The 27,780-nt window shown below is 48.5% G+C and overlaps 1 protein-coding gene, 1 long non-coding RNA gene and 1 pseudogene across 14 annotated transcripts in view, besides 3 other annotated features; 2 read left to right on the forward strand and 1 right to left on the reverse strand.

The window, feature by feature from the left end:
• The window catches only part of EML1 (EMAP like 1), a 204,339-nt gene extending 183,853 nt beyond the window's left edge, over positions 1 to 20,486 (forward strand). For all 12 annotated transcript variants that reach the window (XM_005267398.3, NM_001375411.1, NM_001440377.1 and 9 more), the window contains 5 exons: positions 14,455 to 14,552; positions 14,673 to 14,760; positions 16,243 to 16,338; positions 17,623 to 17,753; positions 18,413 to 20,486. In XM_005267398.3, coding sequence (XP_005267455.1) covers positions 14,455 to 14,552; positions 14,673 to 14,760; positions 16,243 to 16,338; positions 17,623 to 17,753; positions 18,413 to 18,538 — 539 coding nt within the window. In that variant the 3' untranslated portion in view covers positions 18,539 to 20,486. The remainder of the gene's footprint in view (positions 1 to 14,454; positions 14,553 to 14,672; positions 14,761 to 16,242; positions 16,339 to 17,622; positions 17,754 to 18,412) is intronic.
• Positions 15,602 to 15,731: an enhancer, noted in NCBI's record as "active region_9011". NCBI's record gives its function as "activates an Ori minimal core promoter by ATAC-STARR-seq in GM12878 lymphoblastoid cells {active_cell/tissue: GM12878}" and the evidence as "EXISTENCE:reporter gene assay evidence [ECO:0000049][PMID:35858748]".
• Positions 17,484 to 18,683: an enhancer, noted in NCBI's record as "BRD4-independent group 4 enhancer chr14:100405395-100406594 (GRCh37/hg19 assembly coordinates)". NCBI's record gives its function as "activates an origin of replication core promoter dependent on BRD2, P300/CBP, MED14 and CDK7 cofactors, and independent of BRD4, by STARR-seq in HCT116 cells {active_cell/tissue: HCT116}" and the evidence as "EXISTENCE:reporter gene assay evidence [ECO:0000049][PMID:35650434]".
• On the reverse strand, positions 20,430 to 27,727 carry LOC102724682 (uncharacterized). 2 transcript variants are annotated; one of them, XR_007064328.1, is made up of 6 exons: positions 27,626 to 27,727; positions 26,361 to 26,534; positions 23,749 to 23,900; positions 22,409 to 22,973; positions 20,829 to 20,889; positions 20,430 to 20,692 (listed from the first exon to the last, which is right to left on the reverse strand). It is a non-coding gene; the product is annotated as an uncharacterized LOC102724682 (long non-coding RNA). The 2 variants fall into 2 exon arrangements; XR_007064327.1 differs by lacking the exon at positions 20,430 to 20,692 and having other exon boundaries at positions 20,724 to 23,900.
• Positions 23,741 to 23,903, forward strand: RNU1-47P (RNA, U1 small nuclear 47, pseudogene; annotated as a pseudogene).
• Positions 24,539 to 25,467: an enhancer, noted in NCBI's record as "H3K4me1 hESC enhancer chr14:100412450-100413378 (GRCh37/hg19 assembly coordinates)". NCBI's record gives its function as "activates a minimal SCP1, AML or CMV promoter by ChIP-STARR-seq in naive H9 embryonic stem cells {active_cell/tissue: H9 hESC(naive)}" and the evidence as "EXISTENCE:reporter gene assay evidence [ECO:0000049][PMID:30033119]".
• Positions 27,728 to 27,780: the final 53 nt, after the last annotated feature.

Consider the following 27,780-nt stretch of genomic DNA (forward strand, 5'->3'; position numbering starts at 1 on the left):
TACTCATCCGCCAGCTTCAATGATGATCAGCTCTCAGCCAGTTTCCTGCGTCTGGAGCCCCACCCACCACCCGCCTCCCATATTCTGAAGCAGTTCCCAGACATCTCATCATTTCATCTGTTAATAATTGTATATATCCCAAAAAGATGAGGACTCTTTTTAACAGCTTTATTGAGGAGTAATTTACATACAATAATGAACCATTATAAATGTACAGCTCATCGATTCTTTATAAGCTTGTGGAGCTATGCAACAACCATCACTACAGTCCAGTTTTTTAACCTTTTCATCATCCAAAAAGTTTCCTCCATGCCCATTAGCAGTTCACTTCCACCCTCACCCCCAGTCCGAGGAAACTACTGATCTGTTTTCTGTTTCCAAAAATTGCTTTTTCTGGACATATCGTGTAAATGGATTCCTACAATATGTAGTTGGTTGCATCTGACTTCATTCACGTAGAATGATGTTTTTGAGATTAATCCATGTTACTGTGCACAGAGCAGTACTATATTCCTTCTAATTGCTGGGTAGTTTTCCATTTTATGGATATATACCACATCTTGTTTATCCATGCATCAGTTAATGATGGATTTTTTTTTTTTGAGACAGAGCCTCACTGCAACCTCTGCCTCCCAGGTTCAAGCGATTCTTCTGCCTCAGCCTCCCGAGTAGCTGGGATTACAGGTGCATGCCACCACACCTGGCTAATTTTTGTATTTTTAGTAGTGATGGGATTTCGCCATATTGGCCAGGCTGGTCTCAAACTCCTGACCTCAGGTGATCCACCCACCTCGGCCTCCCAAAGTGCTGGGTTTACAGGCGTGAGCCACCGCACCCTGGCCTTATGGATTTAGATTGTTTCTGGTTTTTTATTATTATTAATAATGCTATGAACATTCATGTATATGCCTTTTTGTGTTTGTTTTCATTTCTCGGGTAAATTCTTAGGAGTGAAATTGACGGATTGTATGGTAAACTTATGTTTAACATTTTATGAAACTGCCAGACTGCCTGTCCTATTTTACATTCTCGTCAGCCATGTGCTAGGGTTCTAGTATCATCACATCCTCCCAATACTTGTTATTGTCCTTTTGATTATAGTCATTCTAAAGAGGGTGTAATGGCATCTCATTGTGGTTTTAATTGGTGTTTCCCTAATGACTATTGATATTGAGCATTTTTTAATGTGCATATTAGTCATTCCAATATCTTCTTTGGTGAAATATCTATTCAGATATTTTGCCAATTTTTAATTGGGCTGTTTGTCTTACTGTTGAGTAGTAAGTCCTCTTTATATATTCCGTATATACAGTCTTTATCAGATAGATGATTTGCAAATATTTTTTCTGAATGTATGGCTTATCTTTTTTTCTGTTTGTTTGTTTTTGAGACAGCATCTCACTCTGTCACCCAGGCTGGAGTGCACTGGCATGATCATGGCTCATTGCAGCCTTGACCTCAGGTCCAAGCAATCCTCTCACCTCAGCCTCCCAAGTAGCTGGGAACACAGGCACACACCACCACGTCTGGCTAATTTTTGTATTTTTGTTAGAGACAGGGTTTCGCCATGTTGCCCAGGCTGGTCTTGAACTCCTGGGCCCAAGTGATCTGCCTGCCTCGGCCTCCCAAAACTGCTGGGATTATAGGTGTGAGCCACCATGCCCAGCCTTCATTTTCTTAATGGGGTTTTTTAAAGCACAAAAGCTTTCAATTCTGATGAAGTTCAGTTTATCAATTTTTCCTTTTGTGGATCATGCCTTTGGGGTCGTATCCAAGATCATGAATATTTCCTTGTATGCTTTCTTTTAGAAGAGTTGTTTTAGCCCTTGCATTCGAGTCTATGATCCATTTGAGTTAATTACACAAGAGTTACAAGAGTACACTAGACTTGTTTCTTGTGGATGGTGAGAAGGAAGAGCCTGTTTGCTCTGCATAGAGGTATCTAGTTGTCCCAAGCACTTTTTGTTGAAAACACAGTCTTTCCCTGTTGAATTATCAATGACACTTTTGTCAAAAATCAATCGATCAGAAATGTAAAGGTTTATTTCCGGATACTCAGTTCTGCCCCCTTCACCTGTGTTTATCCCCGATTACTGTGACCTTAGAGGAAATTTTCAAATTGAGTAGTGTCACTGCTGCAAATTTGTTGTTTTTTTCAAAATAGTGTTGGCTATTTTAGGTTCCTACTATATGTAAAATTGTATATAAATTTTAGGATCAGCTTGTCTTTTTTTATTATTTTGTTTTTTGAAATTTTTTTGTAGACACAGGGTCTTACTTTGTGGCCCAGGCCGGTCTCAAACGCCTGGTCTCCAGAGATCGTCTCACTTCGGCCTCCCAAAGTGTTGGGATTACAGGTGTGAGGCACCACACTAGGCCAGCTCGTCAATTTCTAACTTTGAAAAGCCTGTTAGGATTGTAAGAGGGATTATGTTTAATTTACAGATCAATATGGGGGAAATTGCCACCTGGACAATAGTGGCTCTTATCATGAGCAAAGACTGTCTCTCCATTTATTTAGGTCTTTACTTTTTCTCAGCAATGCTTTATAGTTGTAGGTGTACAAGTCTTGCACTTCCTTTGTTAAATTTATTCCAAAATAAGTGTTTTTTTTATGCCATTGTGAATGGAATTGTTTTCTGAATTTTGTTTTCAGTTGGTTGGCTGCTAGTATGTAAAAATAGGATTGAATTTTGCACGTAGATCTTATATCCTATGACCTTTCTAAACTTCTTTGATTAGTTTTAGTATAATAGTCCCTCCCAATCCACAGGGGCTACCTTCCAAGACCCCACACAGGTGCCTGAAACTATGGATAACAACAAATGCTAAGTGTACTATGTTTCTTCCTATATATACTTGCCTATGGCAAAGTTAAATGTATAAATCAGGTACAGTAAGAGATTAATGACAATAATAATAAAGTAGAACAATATAACAATATATTGTAATAAGAGTTATGTGAATATGGTTTCTCTTTCAGAATACTGTATTATACGTAATATTTGCAGACCACAATTGACCACAGGTTACTGAAACCACAGAAAGTTGTTTCAGTCTTATTATATTATATTAATATCACTACATTTTATTAAGTTTCTTCTGTTTTTCTGAGGAGAAAAAGCATTCAGTCTTTCATCATGAGGGATAAAGATGCCCTTTATCATAGTGAGAAAGTTCCCTTCTATTTCTAATTTGTTTGGAGGTTTTAGCATGAATGGGGTTGGAGTTTATCAGATGCTTTTTCTGCATCTGTTGGGATTATTATGTGGGTTTCATCCTTCATCTTATTTTATTAATATCACTACATTTTATTAATTTTCAGATGTTGAACCAACTTCACATTCCTGTGGTAAATTCCCCTTAATCATGGTGTATAATCCCTTTTACATGTGTTTGCTAGGATTCTATTAAGGATTTTTGCCTCCATGTTTCTAACAGATATTGGTGTATAGTTTTCTTTTCTTGTGGCATCTTTGTCTGTCTCAGTTATGAGAGTACTACCGGCCTTACAGAGCAAATTAGGAAGTGTTCTCTCCTCTGTTTTCTGAAAGAGTTTGTGAAAAGTTGGTGTTATATTAAATATTTGACAGAATGTATGTGAATTTGGTGAAACTACCTGGGCCTTTCTTTGTGGGAAGGTTTTTAATTACTAATTCAATTTCTTTACTTCTTACAAGTCTATTCAGATTTCTTTTTTCTTTTTTTTTTTTTTTTGCTCTGTCACCTGGGCTGGTGTACACTAGCACAAACACGGCACACTGCAGCCCTGACCTCCTGGGTTCAAGTGATTCTGCCACCTCAGCCTCCAAGTAGCTGGGACTGCAGGCAGGCACCACCACACCCAGCTAATTTTTTTTAGAGACAGGGTATTCCTATGTCTCTAAACTGAAACTCCTGGGCTCAAGCAGTCTTCCTGCCTCAGCCTCCCAAAGTGGGATTACAGGCAGGAGCCACCAAATTTCTCTTTTCAACTCTATTTTTGCTTCATGTAGTTTGAATGAATGATTGGGCAGAGGTTATGCACAAATAACTTAAGCCAGTAAGGCTCCGTCCTCTGCCAGTGGCTCTGTGGGCAGGTTGAAGGGCATGTTCAAAGTTCAGGCCGTTTCCATGTCGGCCTGGCTTTTACTTTCCACTCACCCTTTTACATCTCCTCTATGCACATGTACAGATTCAGATTGGCCGGAAGGGTGTCTGAATAGGCAGGATCCTTTCCTGCCTCCACTGTGCATGCACCAGCCTCCCGTCAGCCAGGAATGCGCTCACCCATCCAATAACCGTAACCTCAAGCCAGTAGAAACCTTGGCCCTCCCCACCCAACTGCCCTAGAGATGGTCACTTCCATCCCAGTGCTACTATTGCCCAGGGCTCCATATGGAGTGAGCCCTTTTACCACAGCCGCGTGGTCCTCAGAGCCTGTTCTTCCCTGCCAGGACCGCTGTGCTGGCCCAGCTGCTGCGAAGGAGTGAGGGCAGCCCAGGGAAGAACATGATGGATTCACCCTGTTTTTACCTGAAGTTGAGAAGATTTTCAAATAAACAACACTTCTCAGATTTTCATGTCTTGTTCAATTTACAGAGTCTGGAAATGGTTGTTTTTGTCAGTTTTATAGAATTTCATAATTGCTTTATGGGGAGAGGATTGGCCAACCTTCTCATTTGGCCACAGCTAGAAGAACTGCCCTCTTATTTTTTGTGTTTTTTGGGGTTTTTTTTTTCTTTTTTTGAGATGGAGTCTTGCACTGTTGTTCAGGCTGGAGTGCAGTGGCATGATTTCAGCTCACTGTAACCTCTGCCTCCCAGATTCAAGCAATTCTCCTGCCTCGGCCTCCTGAGTAGCTGGAACTACAGGCTTACGCCACCACACCTGGCTAATTTTTGTATTTTTAGTAGAGACAGGGTTTTGCCAGATTGGCCAGGCTGGTCTCAAGCTCCTAGCCTCAAGTGATCTGCCCGCCTCGGCCTCCCAAAGTGCTGCGATTATAGGCATAAGCCACTGCCCCTGGCAGCTCTTATTTTTTTTAATGACTGTTTTTTATTGTTAGAGATGAGGTCTTGCTATGTTGCAGGCTGGAGTGCAGTGGGTACTCACAGGTGTGATCACAGTACACTACAGCCTCAGCCCCTTGAATAGGTGGGACTACAGGCGTGTGCCACTGCACCCAGCTCTGCCTTTTTTTTTTTTTAGACAGAGCCTCACTCTGTCACCCAGGTTGGAGTGCAGTGGCGTGATCTCAGCTCACTGCAACCTCTATCCCTCAAGCTCAAGCAATCCTCCCACCTCAGCCTCCCGAGTAGCTGGGACTACAGGCATGCACCACCATACCTGGCTAATTTTTTGTATTTTTAGTAGAGATGAGGTTTTGCCATGTTGCCCAGGCTGGTCTTGAACTCCTGAGCTCAAGCAATTCACCCCTGCCCTTGGCCTTCCAAAGTGCTGGGATTACAGGCGTGAGCCACAGCACAGACCTGCCCTCTTATTTTTAATATAACCACAGTATCGTTGTCTCCTCCCCAACCCAAATCAGCATTGATGTCTTAATATCATCAGATGGCCAGTTATATGTTCCAGTTTTCAATTTACTTTTTTTTAACAATTTGTTTAAACCAGGAAGCAAAAAAAAGCCCACACAATGGTAATTGGTTGATATGACTTACTAGTTTCTGTTAATCCATAGGTGTTCTCTCTCTCCCTCTATTACAGTAAATTTGTTGATGAAACTGGCTCGTTTGTCCTGTAGCATTTTCCACACTGGATTTTGCTGAATGCATCTTTGTGGTGTTGTCTTCACGTGTTCCTCTGTCCCCTGTATTTCCCATAAAGTGATTGCTGGATATCGAGGCTTGGTCATATTCAAGCTGTATATGTGTTGCTGTATTTTTCCTTTAGGAGGCACATAATGGGTTTTTCTCACTTTTTGTGACATTAGTAGCTGTTGTTACCCAGTGCCTAGATCCATAAAGGTTGCCAACTATTGATTTCCAATGTTAGCTTTTCTTCTTCATTTATTAGATATAGTACTTCTATGAAGAAAAACTTTCCTTCATCTACAATTTTGGTACCCAGTGGTAGAGTTCATATAGGAAAGTCAGAATTAATGCTTGATTTCATTCACTTTATTTTCCAGTTTCTGAGATAATACATTTGCTTTCTGCTCCTCTAACAGTCACCGATCAGTGGTGGTGATAGTAGTGGTGGTGGTAGTGGTGGTGGTATTGGTGGTGGGGGGGGTGGGGGGGTGGTGGTGGTGGTGGTATTGGTGGTGGTGATGGTGGTGGTGGTAGTGGTAGTAGTGGTGGCGGTGGTGGTGGTGGTGGTGGTGGTGGTGGTGGTGGTATTGGTGGTGGTGGTGATGGTGGTGATGGTGGTGGTGGTGGAGGTGGTGGTGGTGGTGATGGTGGTGGTGGTGGTGATGGTGGTGGTGGTGGAGGTGGTGGTGGTGGTGGTGGTGGTGGTGGTGGTGGTGATGGTGATGGTGGTGGTGGTGGTGGTGGTGGTGGTGGTGATGGTGATGGTGGTGGTGGTGGAGGTGGTGGTGGTGGTGGAGGTGGTGGTGGTGGTGGTGGTGGTGGTGGTGGTGATGGTGGTGGTGGTGGAGGTGGTGGTGGTGGTGGTGGTGGTGGTGGTGGTGATGGTGATGGTGGTGGTGGTGGTGGTGGTGGTGGTGGTGGGTAGTGGTGTAGTTTTGGTGCCATTATGGATTGAAGTTTATTTGCTGTGTTCCTGTCTGTTATATTAGGTGGAAGTTACTCTAGTTGGCTCCTGGGTCCTTTTGACGTGACCTCAGGAGCCTTTAGTACTTGTTCTCTGGCATAACAAGTTGTTCCAGGATCCTTGTATACATTTCTTACCTATAGCCCTTTCTCTCAGGAGGCCCTCCTTCCTTTTTCATCTGAAGGGAGGAGATCACAATATGGGTGTTAGGAGTGCTTGTTGCCACAGGGTAGGGGATTGTCTTGCCTTTTCATTATATGATTATGTTGTGGGAAATACTGTTTCTTTCATGCACAGGCCATTTGGCTATGCTGACACTCTTGGAAACTGGAGTTTTGGTTCTGGGAAATACGTGGCTGACTCTGAGCTGCTGGTCTCTGTAGGGATCTTCTATTTTATAACCTTATTGACAGCGTCAACTCTGCCTCACAGTGGGACGTGTCCTCGAGCTTTAGAAGATCTGATAGAGCATCTCTTTTGGATGTTTTTTCGTTGTCTCTGAACCACGTTCATAACTTCTCACCCTAAACAGACAACTGCTCAGCCCCCTTGGCAGCCTTTTGTCCATGTTGAGAAGGAGCTTGACTTGGAATGCCTTTCATTCATAACCTCCTCAGTATCACATTTCTTTCTGTTAATTTAGCCAGTGTTCTGCATCTTATCTTGTGTTTCTCACCATTTTCTCAGTTATTTTGAACGTCTGCTGAAGGCACGAGGGCCTCATCTGCAGCCTCTTTCCTAGAAAGCCATCTGATACCTGTCAGCGCCTGCTAACTTGAGCAGGTCCATTGGGAAACATGTTTCTATTTCTTGTCAGTTACACTAATGACCATTCCCTGGAGAGCAGAGAGCTCTTCCTACTAGAACTCTGCCTCTCAGCTTCAGAGTCATTGCCTGGGAGCTGTGTGGGGCAAAAGTGAAAGCCCTAAGCCAGGGCCGGGCCAACCGCATTTGAATCTAGTGTTCTCCCTTAGTTAGCCAGGTGACCTTTTCAGAGCAGACAGTGAGTTACCATGAGGCCCAACTGAAAGAAGTGTGAATGAGTTCTCTGCAGAGCATTGTGCAGATGTCACAGGGGATGTGATATCATCATCAGTAACAGCAGCAGTGATGGCCCCTGGAACAGCACCCAGATGGTGGACTCAGACCCCTGGGGAGTGACCCACAGTTCCATGATGGGAGGGACCCTATTTTGTTCAGCACTGTGTGCCCAGCTAGCTCCTAGCATAGGGTTTATGACGGGTTAGTTGCATGCGTGAATGTAGCTATAACTAACTACAGTGCAACAGACACAAAGCAAAATGTGATCAGCAGTATGAGTTTTCTGGTTACACAAGATTTTTCCAGCATATAGGCTATACTGTTGTGGATTACTATCTCATTTTTGGATTTAAGTATTTACAGACCTAAGACTAAAGAGAGAGAGAGAGAAAGCATTCGATGCCCAAACACAGATTGTCATTGACATGGAATTTCAGAAACCTGCTGCCAAGATCCCGGCCGAGATCTGTAGCCCATCTCCAAGGTAGCAGCACCCTGCGCTGCCATGTGCTAAGAAGGGAAACCATGATGAAATGATGAGGGCTTTTTCTCATTCCGTCAGTCTCAGGAAAGCTATGAGGGTTCTGCTGATGGCCAGAGGAAAAGCTAGTAGCGGTTCTTGAGCTTTATAGGTGGAGCTGGCCCTCCTGGGCCTTCCCAGGATGTGGGAAGGACCAACGAGCCCCCAGCCAGAGGCCCCCTGCCCAAAGATAAATGCCACCTTCACACTCAGTGAGGCAGGTGGACACTGACCCTTTGCCACAGACTGGGGTTGTGGAGAGGAGCTTTAGGAGGAACTGGGGCTATTTTGCAAATCAAGGTTCAAGGTTGATGTTAACTGTGCAGGGGTGCGGGTCTGAGGGGTTACCTCATAAACTGGACAGTCGAAACTTTAGCAGCAGTTGAGAACTAAATGTTTCTGGCAATTTCTCGCTTCTCGCACAACAGGCAGGCCCAGGTTTCAGTTGTTGGTCTATACCTCACCGTGGGTGGAAGAGGGAGGTTCAGAAAGTCAGCACTGGAACTCTGGGCACACGCCTGGAACGCAACCACGAAGCCAAGCCCTCCAGGAGTGCATGTGGATCACCCAGAGCGGGTGGGGGTTCTTTGGCATGCTCAGAGCCATGAGCCTAGAGAATTTCCATGGACCATTGAATACCCATCTCAGGCATGTTTTAGCAACTGTCATTTATGGACTATTTTATATAACATGGTCTTTTGCTGATAAACTAATGTTACGTGAAAGTTTATCACAACCAGTCAGCTAAGTGTTGGCAAAATGCCAGCTCCCTCAGGCTTATTAAATACAGAAGCTTCATAGTGATAATTCTCATATTTAACATGCATGTCGAGAATCTTATAGAGCACTTTATGATTGGACAGGATGGAGTTTTGATTGAATTAAGATTGTACTTTTTTAAAGAACAGAAATAGGAAGAAAATAACTTCCTATTTATTAAGCCCAACTGCAGATCCTTAGCCTGCCTGTTCTAGTTTCAGCTCATTGAACCTAGGGTAAAAATCTGAATGTGAAGATGAAAGAGAGAAGCCCAGAAAGGACTAGGTGCAACTGGTCATGCAATTGTGTTTCTCTTCTTTGATCTTATCCATGTCATTGTTTGAAAGGTGGGGCTTTTTCTGCTTTTACTAGAATGAATCAGAATCTGGCACTTACTCCGTCACTTGCAGTATTAGATCCCCCATCTGCCTGGGTCTGAGCCCTGTGCTGATGCAACCCCTGCCACCCAGCCAACCCTTTCCCCTGTCATGTGGCATTCCCCCTCCCTGGGTTGATCCCCATGCAGATGCAGCAGTCTTGTCTCCAAGCCCAAAATTACAATCAGTGTGCCAGGAGAGAGGCTACACCATAGCTGCACGGCTGTTCCTACACCTGCAGACCATCTTCGCTGCCACCCCCTCCCTCCCCACCCCAGATCTCACTTGTCAGCTTACAGGTACTTTGCAAGCATGCAAGGATTTCTGTCTGTGCCACTCACCTGGCTGTGTTGCTGTACACAAATTACTAAGCCTCAGTTTCCTCATCTGCAGAGCAAGTCTAATTGAACCCTCTGCTGAGGCGCTGTTGGGCTTGACTGAAGCCCCCAGCCTCCAGCCTGGTGAAGAGTGAGCAATCAGTAGAAAACAGCCGTAAGGTTGTCCTTCTGCCCTGAGCACCTGGACTCTTGCTCCCGTGGCTTTATGAGTTCTCCAGCTGATTTTCATTTTGGGCCAAATCCTAGCTTATTTCAGTGGAGTAAGTTTAGGAATCTCAGTCTCCGAGAGAGCTGGGGAATGAGGCTTAGAGAGTTTTTGGAGGAGAGGAGAACAATTAGGGAAAGAAAAAGGGCTCTGTGGGACCCAAGAAACAGGCTGTGCTAGGTTTCTTCTGGCCTCTGGTTAGCATATTGACAAACGCTGGTTGGTTTTGATTTCTTAGGCAATTGTTTTTATATATTTATGGATGAATGTAGGTAAAAGAGCTAGGATTTGAACCCAGGTTTTTCTGCCTCGAAGGCCACATTCTAATCCTCACACTCTGCCGTCTTGCCGGGCAGTCGTCGCGGTCAACGGGAGAGTCATTTTGAGGTTTTTCGTGGTGGTTATGTCGGGGGCCAGGGGCTGGGAGGCACCTCCTCTGAGGAAGGGAACGTTTCTCCTGGTTCTGCCTTTGTCTCTGAGCCACTGCCTGCATTTCCACATCACGCACTGGTGGGTGCGTGCTAAGGACGTGGAAACCTGGGTGGGGTGGGGTGGTCAGAGTTGTTTACAAGGAAGATTAGGGCCTCCTGGGCCATCTTTTCGTGCCTGTGCAGAGGCCTGGGGTTGTGGATGGTACGATCAGCCGGTTCCCCTCTGCAGGGAGGACTTCCCCAGGCAGAGGTGAGCTTCAACTCCTGCATGAAGACCGTGGATTAGAATAGGAAAAAGGAATTACAATCTGATTAAGCCTGTCAGAGATAGAAGTGGATTGCTGAGAGAGATTGTGAAGTCCTGTTTCATTCATCTTTAAAAACAGATATGGGGGCCGGGCGCGGTGGCTCACATCTGTAATCCCAGCACTTTGGGAGGCCGAGGCAAGTGGATTACCTGAGGTCAGGAGTTTGAGACCAGCCTAGCCTACATGGTGAAACCCATCTCTACTAAAAATACGAAATAATTAGCCAGACGCGGTGGCAGGCGCCTGTAATCCCAGCTATCTGGAAGGCTGAGGCAGGAGAATCGCTTGAACTCAGGAGGCAGAGGGGCAGATGTTGCAGTGAGCTGAGATTGCACCATTGCACTCCAGCCTGGGCAACAGAGCAAGACTCCATCTTAAAAAAAAAAAAAAAAAGATATGGCGATGGTGATTATGCAGGTGTAGTTGTCAAAACTCCTCGAACCATGCACTTGAAATGTGTGCATTTTACTGCCCGAAAATTGTGGGATGATGTTGTAACATGACTTTTTTCCTTAAATAGCCAATTGCGTTAAACCTGTTTGTTAAATAACAAATAGTTCCATTATGGCCGGGCACAGTGGCTCACACCTGTAATCCCAGCACTTTGGGAGGCCAAGGATGTTTTGCTTGAGCACAGGAGTTCGAGACCAGCTTGGGCAACATAGTGAGACCCCCGTCTCAACAAAAAAATAAAAAAATTAGCTGGGCATAGTAGCGCACATCTGTAGTCCCAGCTACTCGGGAGACCATGGCAGGAGTCGAGGAGGTCAAGGCTGTAGTAAGCTGGGATTGTACTACTGCACTTCAGCCTGGGTGACACAGCGAGACCCCATCCCAAGAAACAAAACAAAACTAATGGTTCCATTATGAAAGACACCTCATTATGTTTTGAGTTCACAAATGATCAGGTAGTTCTTTTTTTTGAGATGGCGTGTCGCTCTGTCGCCCAGGCTAGAGTGCAGTGGCGCAATCTCGGCTCACTGCAACCTCTGCCTCCCGAGTTCAAGTGATTCTCCAGCCTTACCCTCCCGAGTAGCTGGGGCTACAGGTGTGTGCCACTGCCTCCAGCTAATTTTTGTATTTTTAGTAGAGACAGGGTTTCACCATGTTGGCCAGGCTGGTCTCAAACTCCTGATCTCAGGTGATCTGCCCACCTCAGCCTTCCAAAGTGCTGGGATTAGAAGCGTGAGCCACTGCACCTGGCCTGATGGGGTAGTTCCTTGAGACCTTTTGCATAAGAGTGGACAGCCAATCCCCTGCCGTGTCATGTGACAGATTTTCAGCTGTTCTTTACCCTAAAGCTGGTCGGAGGGGCAGTGCCCCTGGAGTCAGATTGCCTGGGTTTCAGCCAGTTTCAGGAAACCTGTGTGACCTTGGATGAGTTAGTTTATTGTACACGCCTCACTGTCCTCTCTTGAAAAATGGGGATAATTATATCTACTTCACGAGGTTGTTACGAAGATACGAAAATTAAATAAGTTAACACAGGAAGAGTTTAGAATTGGACCTAGCACATAGTAGGCTCTCAAACATATTGGCCAGGCCGGGCACGGTGGCTCACGCCTGTAATCCCAGCACTTCGGGGAGGCCAAGGCGGGTGGATCACCTGAGGTCAGGAGATCGAGACCATCCTGGCCAACATGGTAAAACCCCGTCTCTACTAAAAATACAAAAATTAGCCAGGCGCAGTGGCATGTGCCTGTAATCCCAGCTACTTGGGAGGCTGAGGCAGGAGAATCACTTGAACTCAGGAGGTGGAGGTTGCAGTGAGCTGAGATCGTGCCATTACACTCCAGCCTGATCAACAAGAGTGAAACTCCGTCTCAAAAAAAAACATATTGTCCATTTAATAATTGTAATTGGTATCATTAAGTGGCCATTGTTAGTAGCATTTTGTGTTTATTGCGGTCATCGTCACTGTTGCTGTCCAGGCATGGCCAGTTGCAGGCATTGAGTGCAGAGACGGTTGGTTTCTGGCGTGGTCACCTGGCCTTCTCAAGCCTCATCAGCAGCCGATGACAGCCTGTCTCCGGCTTCAGCAGTCCTTTTGTTTTTCTCAGCAAAAAATATGTATTTGCCCCATTCCTTCAGAATTCTTGATTTGGACAGGCTGCCTTGGTCTTACATCGCCCCTATTTTGTCCTGGCCTAGGCCAACACTTCCTAAAATACCATTCCCTGAGGCGCCAGGCCACCCTGGGTCCTGCAGGATTCCTGCCTGGCAGAAGGAAAATCACAGGAAAGAAGGAGGGGAGAAACAACCCTTACCTGATGCTTTACGCGCCTGTGAGCGCAAGGCCCTGTACAAATATTGTCCAAGTGGAGCCTCCCGACTGCTATGAAAATGCGCCGCTTGCTGTGTTTTGTGGATGGAGGACCTGCAGCCCCCTAGCTGGAGCAGAGAGACCCCTGCTACCCTGCATTCTATTCTGGGCCCTGCATGGCTCCAGGTTTCCAGTCCTTCTTTTTGCTTGCTGGCTCAGGAAAGTCTGACCTTTTCCCGGACTCACCTCCTGGCCGTGTTTCCTGTCCTGGGCATCGTGAGTCCCCCTCCCTGCATAGCGTGCACAGCATGGTTGCTTCCAGCCACCAGGGCTGCTGCTGCCTTTTGTTGCAAAGGGCTCCTTCCCATGTGTTTCCACACAAGCATCGCAGCCTGGGTCCTTAGGCCCTCCCAGAACCAGAAACCCAGGGGAAGAACATACCAAGATACCCCTGGGAAGAGAGGCAGGAAGGGCTGTCCAGGCAGAGAGCAGTGAGTGCAGAGGCCTGAGTGAACCCGTGTGTTCAGTGAGGAGCAACGTGGCTAGAAGGCTGTCCTGGTGGGCTTTCTGGGCCCTTCCAAGGAATTGAGTCTTCATCCTTCAGTGATTGGGACAGGGAGGGGCTTATAAGATTTCATAAAATTGTATGAAAAGAATTTGTAGGGGGCAGTGGCTCACTCCTGTAATCCCAGCACTTTGGGAGGCCAAGGCAGGCAGATCACTTGAGCTCAGGAGTTTGAGACCAACCTGGTCAACACAGCGAGACCCCAACTCTACAAAAAAATGTTTTTAAATTGGCCAAGTGTCATGGCACACGCCTGTAGTCCCAGATACTTCCCTAGGATCACTTGAGCCCAGGAGGTTGAGGCTGCAGTAAGCTGTGATCATACCACTGCACTCCAGCCTGGGTGACAAAGCAAAACCCTGTCTCAAAAGAAAAAAAAAAAGAGTTCATAAAAATTTATAAATCGCTGGACGCAGTGGCTCACACCTTAATCCCAGCACTTTGGGAGGCCGAGGCGGGCGGATCACGAGGTCACGAGATCGAGACCATCCTGGCTAACACGTTGAAACCTCGTCTCTACCGAAAATACAAAAAATTAGCCAAGCGTGGTGGCACGCACCTGTGGTCCCAGCTACTCGGGAGGCTGAGGCAGGAGAATGGCGTGAACCCGGGAGGCAGAGCTTGCCGTGAGTCGAGATCGCACCACTGCACTCCGGCCTGGCGACAGAGCGAGACTCCGTCTCAAAAAAAAAAAAAAAAAAAAAAAATTATAAACCTTTACCAGGTTTTATCATCTGGCCAGATGTGTGTTTTTCAAAAGATAGCTTTGGAAGTGGCAAAGGATTCATTGAAAAGCAGATTTTTCTCTTGGAAATAATTCATTAATCTGGTGATTTTGTCTAAATCTGTGGTGGCAGCTACCGTTATCCTTTGTAACGAACAAAATGTGTATTGTTAACATCTGAAATGTAATTTGTCATCTTTTTATAGATGGGAATTTCTTAGCCATAGGCTCACATGACAACTGCATCTATATATATGGCGTTAGTGACAACGGGAGGAAGTACACGCGAGTGGGCAAGTGCTCGGTAAGCGCTGACAGTGGACCTGTCGCTTCTCATGCACTGCGTATAGTTTAACTACCGTGGAACAGTGTTGGCAGGGACTTCTAAGGCCAATGAAATGAAGACAGTGTTTTACCCTCCCAGGGTCATTCCAGCTTCATTACTCACCTGGACTGGTCTGTAAACTCACAGTTCCTCGTGTCAAATTCCGGAGACTACGAAATCCTCTACTGTGAGTACCACCCCGGGGTTGTATGAAGTCTCGATCTCAGAAAGCGTTCACTCTGAGATCCAGGGGGCCTCTGTGAGAACCCACCTCCTGTATGACTTAGGCACGTGCCATCATCTCTAGGTCATGGTTTCCGCCTCTGTAACGTAGGGGAGTGGGGCTGCGTGGCTTCTTGGGTCCTTCCCGGTTTCCTGCTGACTGTGAGCCCCTATGGAGGAGAAGATCCAGGGCCTGCCCCAAGGGGAAGAAGGCCAAGCCCTGCAGAGGGGGGCTTGGGGCAGGCGGATGTGGCAGAAGGGGGCGGGTCCGGGTGGATGTGGCCGAAGTGGGTGGGTCCGGAGCTGTCCAGGCAGGAGGAGGGCCTGTAAAGGTGTTATCCTCACAGGAGGGACCATGAAGTCCATCCCCGCTGGGTGGACGGCAGCCCTGGGACCCCTCCTCCTCCCCTCCCAACCTGACCCTGGCCAGTCTCTGGGCCCAGGCAGTGCTTGGGAACAGCGAGGATGATCGTGGCGGGCACTTACAAGCACATCCTCATGCCACGCACTGGTTCCTTAGACACCCACCAGGCACCTGCCACGTGCCCCACTCTGGGCCACGCAGGGCGGCGCGTGGGCACAAGGAAGGCCTCGCTGCTCCCCTGCTGGAAGTTACTGGAAAGCGCAGCGCTCCTCCTCTGCGTCTTCTCAGATGACCTACAGCACTTTCTGGCTTGGCCGCATGATGCAGGGAAGGGCTCAGAGCCCAAAACACAGGCCCCAAGAGCCCACGGGGGTGGGCGGGTCACACTCACTTGAGCGTCCCCACTTGTTGAGGACCAGGACAGGCAGGACCACTGGCGGCAGGGAAAGCAGGGCAGTGTGTACCGAGACTGAGCTCGCTCCAGTGCGGAGGGCGGCCGCACCGTCTCACCTCCTCCCTGTCCAGCTCCTGCCTGACACAGGCACAGGAACGGTATGATTTTCAGGGACAAGCCCTGGGTCTAGAGCCTTCTCAGATGTGGTCTCGTACTCTGCTGGTGAGAGCTCATTTGGGGAACACACAAGTCCCCTGGGAGGCCCTTGGTTTGACTGGTTTCAATAACCTCCATTCCTGACACTGATCTGAAGGGACTGAGGGGTATAGGGAGGCGAGGGGGCCTGACCGCAGAGGCAGAGCTGTGTTCAGGGGCTCGGGTGGGGGTGGGCAGCAGGCGGAGACCCAGGAACCAGAGGCTAGAGAAGCCAGACTGTGGGAAACAGACTTGGACGGAGATGGGAAAAAAACAAAGAAGAGGGCACCTCCACCCAGGCCCATGGGCTCGGGCTCAGTTCCAGGGGAACTCACATCTGTGCACACGTGGTTCCTGCCCGACTGGGAAGTGGAAGGTCTCCCTCTCCAGGAAGGGCTCTGTACCCAACGGGGCACAGCTCTGGGGGCTCAGCCTTGCTTAGGGGAGGGGTGGGGCCTTGGCTTAGATGTTGCCAGACTGTTTGCTTTTTGCAGGGGTTCCCTCTGCCTGTAAGCAAGTCGTAAGTGTGGAAACTACAAGAGACATTGAATGGGCTACCTATACCTGCACTTTGGGATTCCATGTTTTTGGTAAGTTTGCTGCAGATTTCACTGGTTCCAACAAAAGAGTGTCTCCTTTTAAAATATTTCTTCAGTTGCTACGGAGTCTCATGGTCACCAGTCTTGTCAGATTGCTCGGCTGCTACGGGAGGCCCATGAGACACACCTCCTGCCGCACCCTGGGGTAGGGCCTGGGCTTGCCTGGCCGTGGCCCACTGAGAAGAACCAGAGAGATGGGTTTTTAACCCTTCTCCACTGTACAGGGCAGCAGGTCCTAAGATAATTCCCTGGAACCCTCTCCTATCAGGTTGTGCCACATGGACCTAGGTGGACCAGATGGCACTCAGTCAACTTACCATTTGTGAGGGTTATTATTTATATATTTTTTGTTCTTAAACTAAAAATTTCACTTTCTTCAACATTCACTTTAGGAATATTTTCATAAGTGAACTAAATTAAAGGGCTGCAAATTAATAGAATTTTTAAAGATAGTGTTTATTGTCTCTTTACGTAAGACTACAAGTCTTGTGAGAATTTGCAGTTTTGTGGTGTTCAGTGCTGAGGTCCGGAGGTTCACTCCAGAGCTCCCAGTCGAAAACCCAACGTGCATCCAGCCCTCTCCTAGCCACAGGTATTGTTGAAAGGGTTTCCCCGACAATGGTCAGAAGAGGGCGTCCCCCACCCACCCATTCTCCAGGCCCACCTGGGCTCACCCGACAATGGTCAGAAGAGGGTGTCCCCCACCCACCCATTCTCCAGGCCCACCTGGGCTCAGGGATGCAGAGCCTGGAGCCAGTAATGATGGGCACAGCTGCCAGGCTGCCCCAAGCAAGCAACAGCCACAGTGAGTGACCCCAAGAAACATGCGCACACCCAGGGTTAAAAGGCCTTTGGAGAGACCCACCCATGTAGAGTTACAGCAATAACAAGGAAACTGCAGGCTTGAGGACAGGGCAGCTTCCCACAAGATGCTTCAGAGATCAAGGAGAGGTGTCACTTTGGAACTGGGGTTCCTGGTACTGTCTGCCTTGGCCTCAAGATGAGGCCTCAAAAGACCTGGCAGCCCGGAAAGCTTGTCTTTGCTCCCCTTGCACAGCAGAGCATCAGAGGGTCTCCGAGACTGGCCTGAGTGAGAGGAGACTGGGCGCACAGCGAGAGGCCAGGAACTGAGGCTATTGTGCTTTTTTGACCCTTGTTTCTAAAGCTGGACTTCAGGCAGTTTCATGTTCAGGACCGTTCAGTGGGCGCTTCCTGCGCCATGTGGCCCTGTGGCCCCTGGTGTTTCCAGCGCCCTGTTTGTGGTCTTTGTTTTAGGAGTGTGGCCAGAAGGCTCGGACGGAACCGACATCAATGCCGTCTGTCGGGCCCATGAGAAGAAACTCCTGTCAACAGGCGACGACTTTGGCAAAGTGCACCTCTTCTCATACCCCTGCTCGCAGTTCAGGGTAAAGGACTTGTTTCTTCACTAATCTTATCCCCCATGGGGCATGCACGTACACCCGACCTGTTTGGAGACTAAGTGGAAATGGGCTGTGAGCGACTGCTGCCAGCCACAAAGGCAGATGTGACTCTGTTCTTTGCGCCCTGAGCACTTCCAGCCGCCCTTAGGGAAACCCCAAGCCCCACAGGACCCACAAAGCCGTTCAGAGCTGCTCATCCACCTCTGCAGCCCCACAGGCTCACGACCCCGCCCTCCCCCACGGCTCCCTTGCTCCGGCCCTGCTCAGCCGCGCCAGCCCTGAGCCCTGGGACGCCCTTCTTCATCCTCCGTGATCCTGACCCTGGAGACCCCTCACCCTCAGCCCCGGGCATCTGGTTAGGCCCACCTTTGGGGCGACCTCATACCTGGCACCTCTGATACTGAGCATATCTCTCGGCTGAGGGCGGTCATTTGCTCGTGTCTGTCCCCTACCAGGCCACGAGGACTGTGGGCTTTGTTTCTGTGTCCCTTCTGTGTCACACACAGAGCAGGTTCCCAAGTGAGAGCTGCCGAGCGGAGGGCGAGTAAAGGAATTAAGGCATGCAGTGAGAATTCAAGCACTTTCCCATCCCAGATGGTTCGCCTTGTAGTAAAGGAAGCTTTCCCCCGTATCATTCCCTCCAGGCTCCAAGCCACATCTACGGCGGGCACAGCAGCCATGTCACCAATGTCGATTTCCTCTGTGAAGACAGCCACCTCATCTCCACGGGCGGGAAAGACACAAGCATCATGCAGTGGCGCGTCATTTAGTACCCACCGAGAGCTGTGGGGAGCAGCATGGGCAAGGAAGACACAGACTCGCATTACCCTTGGTCACTGTGATTTCTGTTTTGTTTAAAAAATTCTTACAAACCTCAGGAAAACTGTGCCCTCCGCCGGCTACCTTAGCTTAGCGTGTCAGCGGGCGCCACAGCGGATCAGCGGTTCCGTGTTCACTTTTGTTGTACAATATATGACACAGTGCACATTGAATACCAACAAGGTTGCAACGTTTACATTATAGCCACATCAACAGAAGTAACTGGTATATTCTTAGTAACTTTTCTATGAACTCTTCAAAAATGGTCACAGAATGCCTTTTAAAACATTGTATATAATCTTCACTGTTTCACCATCTAGCTTGCTAAGTCAAATATTTATGATGATAATGAGGTACTGAACCACGATGGCTGTTGAGGAATTGGTCCTAAAAGGACAGATCACTTCAGAAGAGTGAATAACTGATTTGCACAGCTGAATCAGGAGACACAAAGATGAGACTGTGTTTGGTTACATTTTCCAAAGTTTCATTGCATTCTCCCTTGGGGAGGCTGTGAGAGAGGGCTTGTATCCCTCTTGTGCTAAGCAGACTCTACTCCTAACTGACTTCAATATTTCAGCAGGGTACACAGGCGTTTCCAAGTTTCAGTGACACCGTCCTGCCTAACCAGATGCGGTCAGCCTCTTCACACCCACCTGGCTTGCATCCCCCATCCCTTGTTCACACGCCCTGATTCACGGTGAGACATTTTGCCACCTTCTTGTGTATATTACTTGGCATGAGATGATATTGTACTTGTATAGGATTCTAGCAATTCATAATAAATATGTAAGACTAGGCTTTACTGTCTTATGCTTATGGACATTGTATATTTGTATTTTATGACCAAGTAGACCAAGTCAGAAAGATCTCTCTCGAGCGTACCATAAACCTGCAGAGAGAAGTCTCGAAAGGCTCCACCAGGTACCAAGGGCAGCTGCTTTTCCTGTCTTTTGTGCATGGGCGACCCATTACAGTATGAGATAAGATTGAGTTCTGATGCGTTAAACGGAGGTGGCAGAAATTTGTCAAGAAGGCCTTATCCATTTCGATTGTGTGACAGATTGAAATTTATTGTTTACATTGGGGAATGTATCTCAAATTTTTAAATAGAAGAGTAATAAACAGACTTTAAAGCAAATATTAAGATTTTTACTCATTCAAGGCAAGTAAATGAATGGAATTATCTGAGCTCTATGGCACTGGTTGTTTAGAGTGACTGATGAAGTGCAACTTTCAAAAACATTTTTGATGACATCACCAGCCTACTGCAGAAGTGCAGGGCACCAGTAAACACCATGTATTATTGAAGATGAATCTGTTTGTATGTATCCTTGTCAAATATATTCTATAATGAAATAAAATCTGAAAAGTGGATTTCTTATTGACCTATATTCATGAAAGCATATAAATTAAAATATTTAAAATTAGATATGATTCACACTATATTCTGTTTCATATGCAGATTTTATTCTCACCTGGGCCATTTGCAGATGAGACTGTAGTTTGCAGATGAGACTGTAGTTTGCAGATGGCGTGGAAGCATTCATCAGGGGAGATAACCATAAAGGATTTGGCCTAATTACCATACTCAATTGTCAGTTTACGTGGTTTTGTGAATACTGGCAAAAGCAATTGTTTTTAAATTAACAATGGAGAGAATGATAAGATGAGGGAAGGAAAAGGCATTCATTATTGACTTACATGTCAGTAAGGTCTGCTTTTATTTCTATGTACTCCTGTTTGCCAAGCTCAATAATGGACAAAGGATACAAACACACACACATCTACTATTTTAGATAAATGTACTGTTATATATATATGTAAACTACTATTGCTCTCTTTATAATGATTAATCACTTTATTATGAATGAATGAATGAATTTGATGGATTTAAAATGGCTTCATTTCATTTTAATTGAAATTCTTTAACCAGTGCAGTATTAACCTTGCAGGTGTTCACTGTTCACTCACTCACGCGTTAACACAGCGAGCAATGACCCTGTGCCACTGCTCAGCACCTCTCAGGCAAGCAAGGCCTTGAACCTCCAAGATTCTCCCGGAACGAGAGGCTCAGGAACCGCGCAGCTCTTAGCCCAGCTTCCCTGCAGCACGTAAGATGAGGAAAGATGAAAGGAAAGGAAAGATTACGATTTATTTGTAGTTACAATAATTAAGTTTGTTAGCATGAGAGAATTTTCCAGTGAACAAAAAGCCCTCAGGGGATTTTTTTTTATTTACCATTTGAAACTTTGTGAAGATGAAATTGTTGCTTTTGCAGAGTAAAGTCTCCGTGGCAGTCCTGTTTAGATAAGGTCAAGTATCAAGGGAACGCTGGATTTCCTCAAGAACAGGGTAGGTGCTGGCGTTCACATGCTTCAAAGCTTGCAAAAGAGCACAGTTGACCCTTGAACAACACAGGGGTTAGGGGTGCTGACCCCACACGCAGTCAAAGATCTATGTATAACTTTTTACTTTCCAAAAACCTAACTACTGATAGCCTACTGTTGACTGGATGCCTCACTGAGAACAATTTCCACATATTTTGTCAATATGTATTATATAGTACACGCTTGCAATAAAGTAAGCTAGAGAAGATAAAATGTTAAGAAAATTATAAAAGAGGCCAGGCACAGTGGCCCAGCCTGTAATCCCAGCACTTTGGGAGGCTGAGGTGGGAGGATCACTTGAGCCCAGGAGTTCACAACCAGCCTGGGCAACACAGCAGGACCCCATCTCTACCAAAAATTTTAAAAAGTAGCCGAGTATAGTGGTATGTGCCTGTAATCCCAGCTACTCCTGGAGGCTGAGGTGGGAGGATTGCTTGAGCCTGGGAGGTCGAGGTTGCAGTGAGCCTGGAGCAGACCACTGCACTCCAGCCTGGGTGACAAAATGAGACCCTGTCTCACTCTGGGGACTCTGAAGGCTGACAGCCTGCTGCCGCCTGCCTCCAGGGCCTGGGAAGTTGATTTGAAGAGTGACACTACCAGGGCAGGGAGGCCATCTGTCATTCTGCGGGTGTTTGTTTGGGGGATTTTGTAGGCTTGTGACAGCCTGCAGGGAAAGCAGGGCTATTTGATAGATACACTGAGGCTTGGAGAAGGAAATAACTTCCCCAAGACAGGCACTTGTTCCAAACTTGTCTTAATGACATGTGCTGGGCGCTGGGAATATAAGGACGGGCAAAACCACACCAGTGCCTGCCCTGGGGCGCCTACATGGCATCAGAAGAGCCAGAGGTTAGCAGAACGCATGCCCAGCCGCGTGCTAGATGACCACCATATGAGCCAGGAAGGAATTGAGAGCATCTAACTGGAAGACCCGAGTGAGTATGGGGACTCCGGAAAGTTTCCCTGGCAGAAAGAGAAGGAAATGACCCGGGAGAGCGGGGAGAGAGGCACTGGAGGCTGAGGCCAACACTCACAAAACCCTTTTGAGAGGGAAATTCAAGAGCACAGGGTAGGGGCACAGGAGTCCAGGGCAGTTTGTGAGAGGCAGGGCACGGGGGGCATGTTAAGGGCTTTATTCCAAATCCCAACAGCAAAGGGGGGCCGCTGGTGGGTTAGGCAGGGAAGGGTTCCCACTGCAATTCTGAAAGGGCTTCCAGGCCGGGGGCTGATGGGTGGGGGCTTTACTGTCATCTCAGTGGGCAGTGATGGTGGCGTGGAGTGGGGAGGTGGGAGCACTGTCCCAGAGAGGTTTGTGGGGTGGCGTCGGCAGAGCTCGCAGGTGGAGTGGATGTGGGCGGGGCTGAGTCCAAGGTCCCTGACTGCTTCTCTGGTGGGATGACAGTGCCAAGAGCTAAAATGCAGATCACTGACCGTCTGAAGGAGGGTAGTAAGGCCTGGAACAGGTGAAGCGAGTTGACATCCAACTGCAAGGGCAAAGTAGGCATTCGGCTTTGCAGGCCCAGCACAGACATCCTGTGGGAGGTGGACACGGGAGGCTCTCCCCGGAGGCTGGTTTTGGGAGCCAAGGTGTGCTTGAGATTGTAGGTTGCTCAACCCAGGCCAAAAGAGGCTCCCAAGCCAGCTTGGGGGACTCCAGAATCCAAGGGCAGGTAAGTGGGCTGCCGGAGAGGAGCGAGAGCCAGGAGGGCCATGGTGGAGCAGGAGACAGTCCCACACGTGGAGGATCTTGCGTCTGCAGCAGCAGGGCAGCTCGATGCAGTGCTTGCCAGGAGCCAGTGTGGACTCTGCACTGGCTTAGCAACCGGCATTCCAGCATCTCCATGCGCAGGCAGTGCCAGGCAGGAGATCCAGGCAAGGTGGGGACAGCCTCAGCCACGTAGGGAAGAGAGAACATGAGGCCACGGGTCGCACTGGGCTGTCAGCCCAGTGGGGGCGGGGGGTGTGGAGGTGGAGGAAGCTTCCAGGCCGGTTGGAACTGGGGAGAGGCAAAGTTCAGTGGATTCTTGGCATTGGTAGATCTTAGGTCCTGGCCGCCGGGGTGAGAGGGACTCCCTGGCAGGGGCTGTCTTTGCTTCACTGGAAAGCCCATTCTGGCATCTCCCCAGCCCCCCACATTTTTTTGAATGATTACTCCCACGCCCAAAGGTTGGCTATTCCATTCATTAGCCATCTCTTCTGTGGTTTGGGAACAGGCTGCTGTCATCCTATCTTACAGGCACAGGAGCGCATAGGAAAGGGTAGATGGGGATGGTCCAATCCACAACTAGGGGGACAGGTTTTGGTGAAAAGGAGCTAGGGAACATGCGCTTGATGCAAGGTGAAAACTGACTCCAGACCTGTTCTTCCTGCAGATTCTCTTTTTTAAAAAAAACTTTGGCCAGGCGTGGTGGCTCACGCCTGTAATCCTAGCACTTTGGGAGGCCGAGGCAGCAGATCACCTGAGGTCAGGAGTTTTGAGACCAGCCTGGCCAACATGGTGAAACCCAGTCTCTACTAAAAATACAAATTAGCCGGGTGTGGTGGCACATGCCTGTAATCCCAACTACTTGGGAGGCTGAGGCAGGAGAATCGCTTGAACCCAGGAAGCGGATGTTGCAGTGAGCCGACACCACAACACTGCACTCCAGCCTGGACAACAAGAGCGAAACTCAGTCTGAAAAAAAAAAAAAAAAAACTTTACAGAAAATTTCAAACATACACAAAAGTAGAGAGAGCCTCTCACCCAGACTAAAAATGATCAGCGTACTCACCTGGCAGGGGAGATGCCGTGATCACGAAAGTGGTCTTCCTGGGGTGAGGCTTATCCACTGCACTCCAGACGTGCTGACCCCTGCAATTTCCCCAAAAGTGGGAAACTCGGCTGCGTCATCTGTGGTCATGGGGGCTGTGTTCATGCTTTCCCCTGGTTAAAGAAAAAAAAAATCAAACATTTAGAAAATCTTGTTTCCTCTGTCTCCCCTAACTTTTGGGGGAGATGGAGTTTTTGTTTTTGTTTTTGTATTTTTGAGACAGAGTCTCGCCCTGTTGCCCAGGCTGGAGTGCAATGGCATGATCTCATCTCACTGCAACCTCCGTCTCCCAGGTTCAAGCAATTCTCCTGCCTCTGCCTCCCGAGTAGCTGGGATTACAGGCACGCACCACCACGCCCAGCTAACTTTTTGGTATCTTTAGTAGAGACAGGATTTCACCATGTTGGCCAGGCTGGTCTCAACTCCTGACCTCGTGATCTGCCCACCTCAGCCTCCCAACGTGCTGGGATTACAGGTGTGAGTCACCGTGCCTGGCCAAGATGGAGTATTTTTTAAAACAAGCCTACAGGACTTTGAGACCAGCCTGGGCAATATACCAAGACCTCATCTTTGCAAAAAACTAAAAACTCAGCTGAATGTGGTAGAGTGCACCTGTAGTCCCAGCTACTTCAGGGGCTGAAGAGGGAAGGTCGCTTGACCCCAGGAGGCTGCAGTGAGCTGTGATTGCGCCACTGCACTTCAGCCTGGGTGACAGAGCAAGACTTTGTCTCTAAAAAAAAAAAAAAAAAAAAAAAAAAGCAAGTCTAAGCCACCATGTCGTTTCACCTATAAATACTTCAGTCTGCCGCTGTGGTGAAGACACTTTGTGTGAGGACACCATGACATCATCACAGCTGACAAACTTGATGATTTCAGTTTCTCGGGCTGTCAAGCCTGATGCTGTGTCTCAGAGCCTGGCTGCACAGGAGCCTAGAACAGCTGCCTGGCCTCCCTGCTGAGCAGTTCAGGGTCGGGTGTCGAGCGTGCAGCCCCCAGTTCTGAACCCTTCTCCAGAGCCCAATTCTTCCCCCCTGACCCCGCTGCTCGATGCCTAGTGGCATCCCTGCCCCTCCCCATCTCCTGCAGACGGGATGCTCAGTGCTGTCTGAAACCTGGGCTCCTTCCATCTCCTGCCGGATCCCTGGCTGTGCTTTAGGCCACCTCAGGAGACCCCCTTCTGGGCCAGACAGCCTGGATCTTCCCTACCTTGCTGGCAAGCCAGACCGGACCACAGAAGCCTTTCGGAGTACCAAGTTCCCTCTTGAAGGAAGGAGGCTTGTTTAAGGGGAGCCTCCCCTGCAGGAAGTCCGTGCCCTCCTGGGGCGTTCCAGGGGGTCCGCAGGTCAACTCTAAGTTTCAATAAAAATGGGGCACACGCGCACACCACCCTGCGCTAGGGAGCTGGGGCGGGGCTGCGGGTAGCACACACTTTCTCGCTGACTGCCCCGGATCTCAGGGGACCCCGGCGTGCGGGAAGCCGGAGGGGACGTGAGATTCAGGGGCTCTGGAACACAGGTGACGCCTGGGCTTATAATGCGGGCCAGTTAAGAACAAATTTGGCTATTTAGGCTGAAAACACGAGTAGCTGCTCTAGCAGACTGAATAAGTAATTATGAAAAGACCTTGAACTTGGGTTATAAATTGAAAACCTCCCCTTCCCAAGCCCCCTCCAGCCCCGCGGCCAACTGCAGGTGCGCCACCTGGTGGCAGAAGAGCAGAGCACCGCCCCTCTCTCCAGCTTGCCAGGGCTGATTCTGACCTGGGGAGGGTTGGGGTGTGGAGAGAGAAAGGGAAACTCTAGTTGACTTTCTGGGTGGGGCGTATGTTTCAACTGACCTTCTGAGAGAGCTTTCAGAGGTTCTTGGAGAACCCCAACGTTGCTGATCGCCTCTCAGCTGCAGTCCCCTGGACCTGAATGAAGGTGTTCTGTTTAGGTGCGGCCTCCTTCTGCAGCCCTGAAGCACCGGGAGGGCTGCCTCCATCGGCCTCCTTCCTGCGGAGATCCCACCGCCCTCCGGGGAAGCCCGCTAGACAGGATCTTAGACGACCTTGCTTGGATCCTTGCTTGGAGGTTCACATCTGGTCTCAGGGGACACTTGTGCCTCCCACACCCACACCTTGCACCAGTGGGTGGGCAGTTACTGCCTTCCACATGCAGCCTTCTCTGGGCAGCTGGCGCTTTTGAGGCACTGGTCCACAAATCGCAGATGGCACACCTCAAGCCCTCCAAGTGGCTTAGGCAGAAGTACCCTCCCTGGTCCTCCCTCAGGAGAAGCAGGGTTGGAATCAGCAGCTCAACTTTCTCCCAAAGAAATCCTCCTTGCAAATATTACTTCTGAAAATGTCTAATTCCCAACGCTTTAGTACTCTTATCGTGGATGAGGATGCCCAGGAGGTGTCTCGGGAACCTCTTTTGTAACTGCTGCTCATGGTCTAACAGTGCCTCTGGAAGACACATCTATTGGATCTTGGCTCCTCGGCTGAACGCTCATTTCAACATCCAGTTACATAACCACAAACATTATTGCACAAGTTTTTTGTACATGTTTGCAAGAAATTATCTGGGATCCTACCTGGAAATGGGACTACTGATTTTCTGGGGCATGCATTAAATATTGCCAAACCATTCTCCACAGCAGCTCCACTGGCAGCCTGGGAGTCTCTGTTGCTCCACTTCCTCATCCATATTAGGAATTGTCATTTCATCTCATCTCATACAGACCCGAGAAGCAGGATCCATCGCCCCTCTTTGAAGAGAAGAAAGAGGGTATATTAGGCTGTTCTTAAACTGCTATAAAGAAATACCTGAAGGCCGGGTGCGGTGGCTCATGCCTGTAATGCCAGCACTTTGGGAGGCCGAGGCAAGCAGATCACTTGATGTTAGGAGTTCCAGACCAGCCTGGCCATGGTGAAACCCTGTCTCTATAAAAAATACAAAAAAATTAGCTGTGCATGGTGACCCATGCCTGTAATCCCAGCTACTTGGGAGGCAGAGGTGGGAGAATGGCTTGAACCTAGGAGGCAGAGGTCGCAATGAGCCGAGATCACCCCACTGCACTTCTGCCTGAGCAACAGAGTGAGACTCCGTTAAAAAAAAAAAAAAAAAAAGAAAGAAAGAAAGAAAAGAAGAGAAAGAAAGAAAAGGAAATACTCGAGACTGGGTAATTTATAAAGACAAGATGGCTGGGCATGGTGGCTCACACCAGTAATCCCAGCACTGTGGGAGGCCGAGGTGGATGGATCATTTGAGGTCAGGAGTTCGAGACCAGCCTGGCTGAAATGGTGAAACCCTGCCACTACTAAAATTACAAAAATTAGCTGGGCATGGCCAGGCACGGTGGCTCACGCCTGTAATCCCAGCACTTTGGTAGGCCAAGGCAGGTAGATCACGAGGTCAGGAGTTCGAGACCAGTCTGGCCAATATGGTGAAACCCCATCTCTACTAAAAATACAAAACTTAGCCAGGCACGGTGGAGCGCACCTGTAGTCCCAGCTACTCGGGAGGCTGAGGCAGGAGAATCGCTTGAACCTGGGAAGTGGAGGTTGCAGTGAGCTGAGATCATGCCACTGCACTCCAGCCTGGGCGACAGAGCAAGACTCTGTCTCAAGAAAAAAAAAAGAAAAGACGTTTAACGGGCTTATGGTTCTGCAGGCTGTACAGGAAACACGGTGCCAGCATCTGCTTGGATTCTGGGGAGGCCTCAAAGCAAAGAGCTTTTATTCAAGGCAGAATGTGAAGTGGGAGCAGACAGTTCGCATGGCAAAAGCAGGAGCAAGAGACAGCGGAGAGGAGCAGGTGCCACATGCTTTTAAACAACCAGATCTTGCAAGAACTCACTTGCTATCACGAGGAAGCACCAAGGGGATGGTACTAAAACATGAGAAGTCCACCCCCGTGATCCAGCCACCTCCCGTCAGGCCCCACCCCCGTGATCCAGCCACCTCCCGTCAGGCCCCACCCCCGTGATCCAGCCACCTCCCGTCAGGCCCCAC

Source organism: Homo sapiens, chromosome 14, assembly GCF_000001405.40.
Source record: "Homo sapiens chromosome 14, GRCh38.p14 Primary Assembly".
Taxonomy (NCBI): Eukaryota; Metazoa; Chordata; class Mammalia; order Primates; family Hominidae; genus Homo; species Homo sapiens.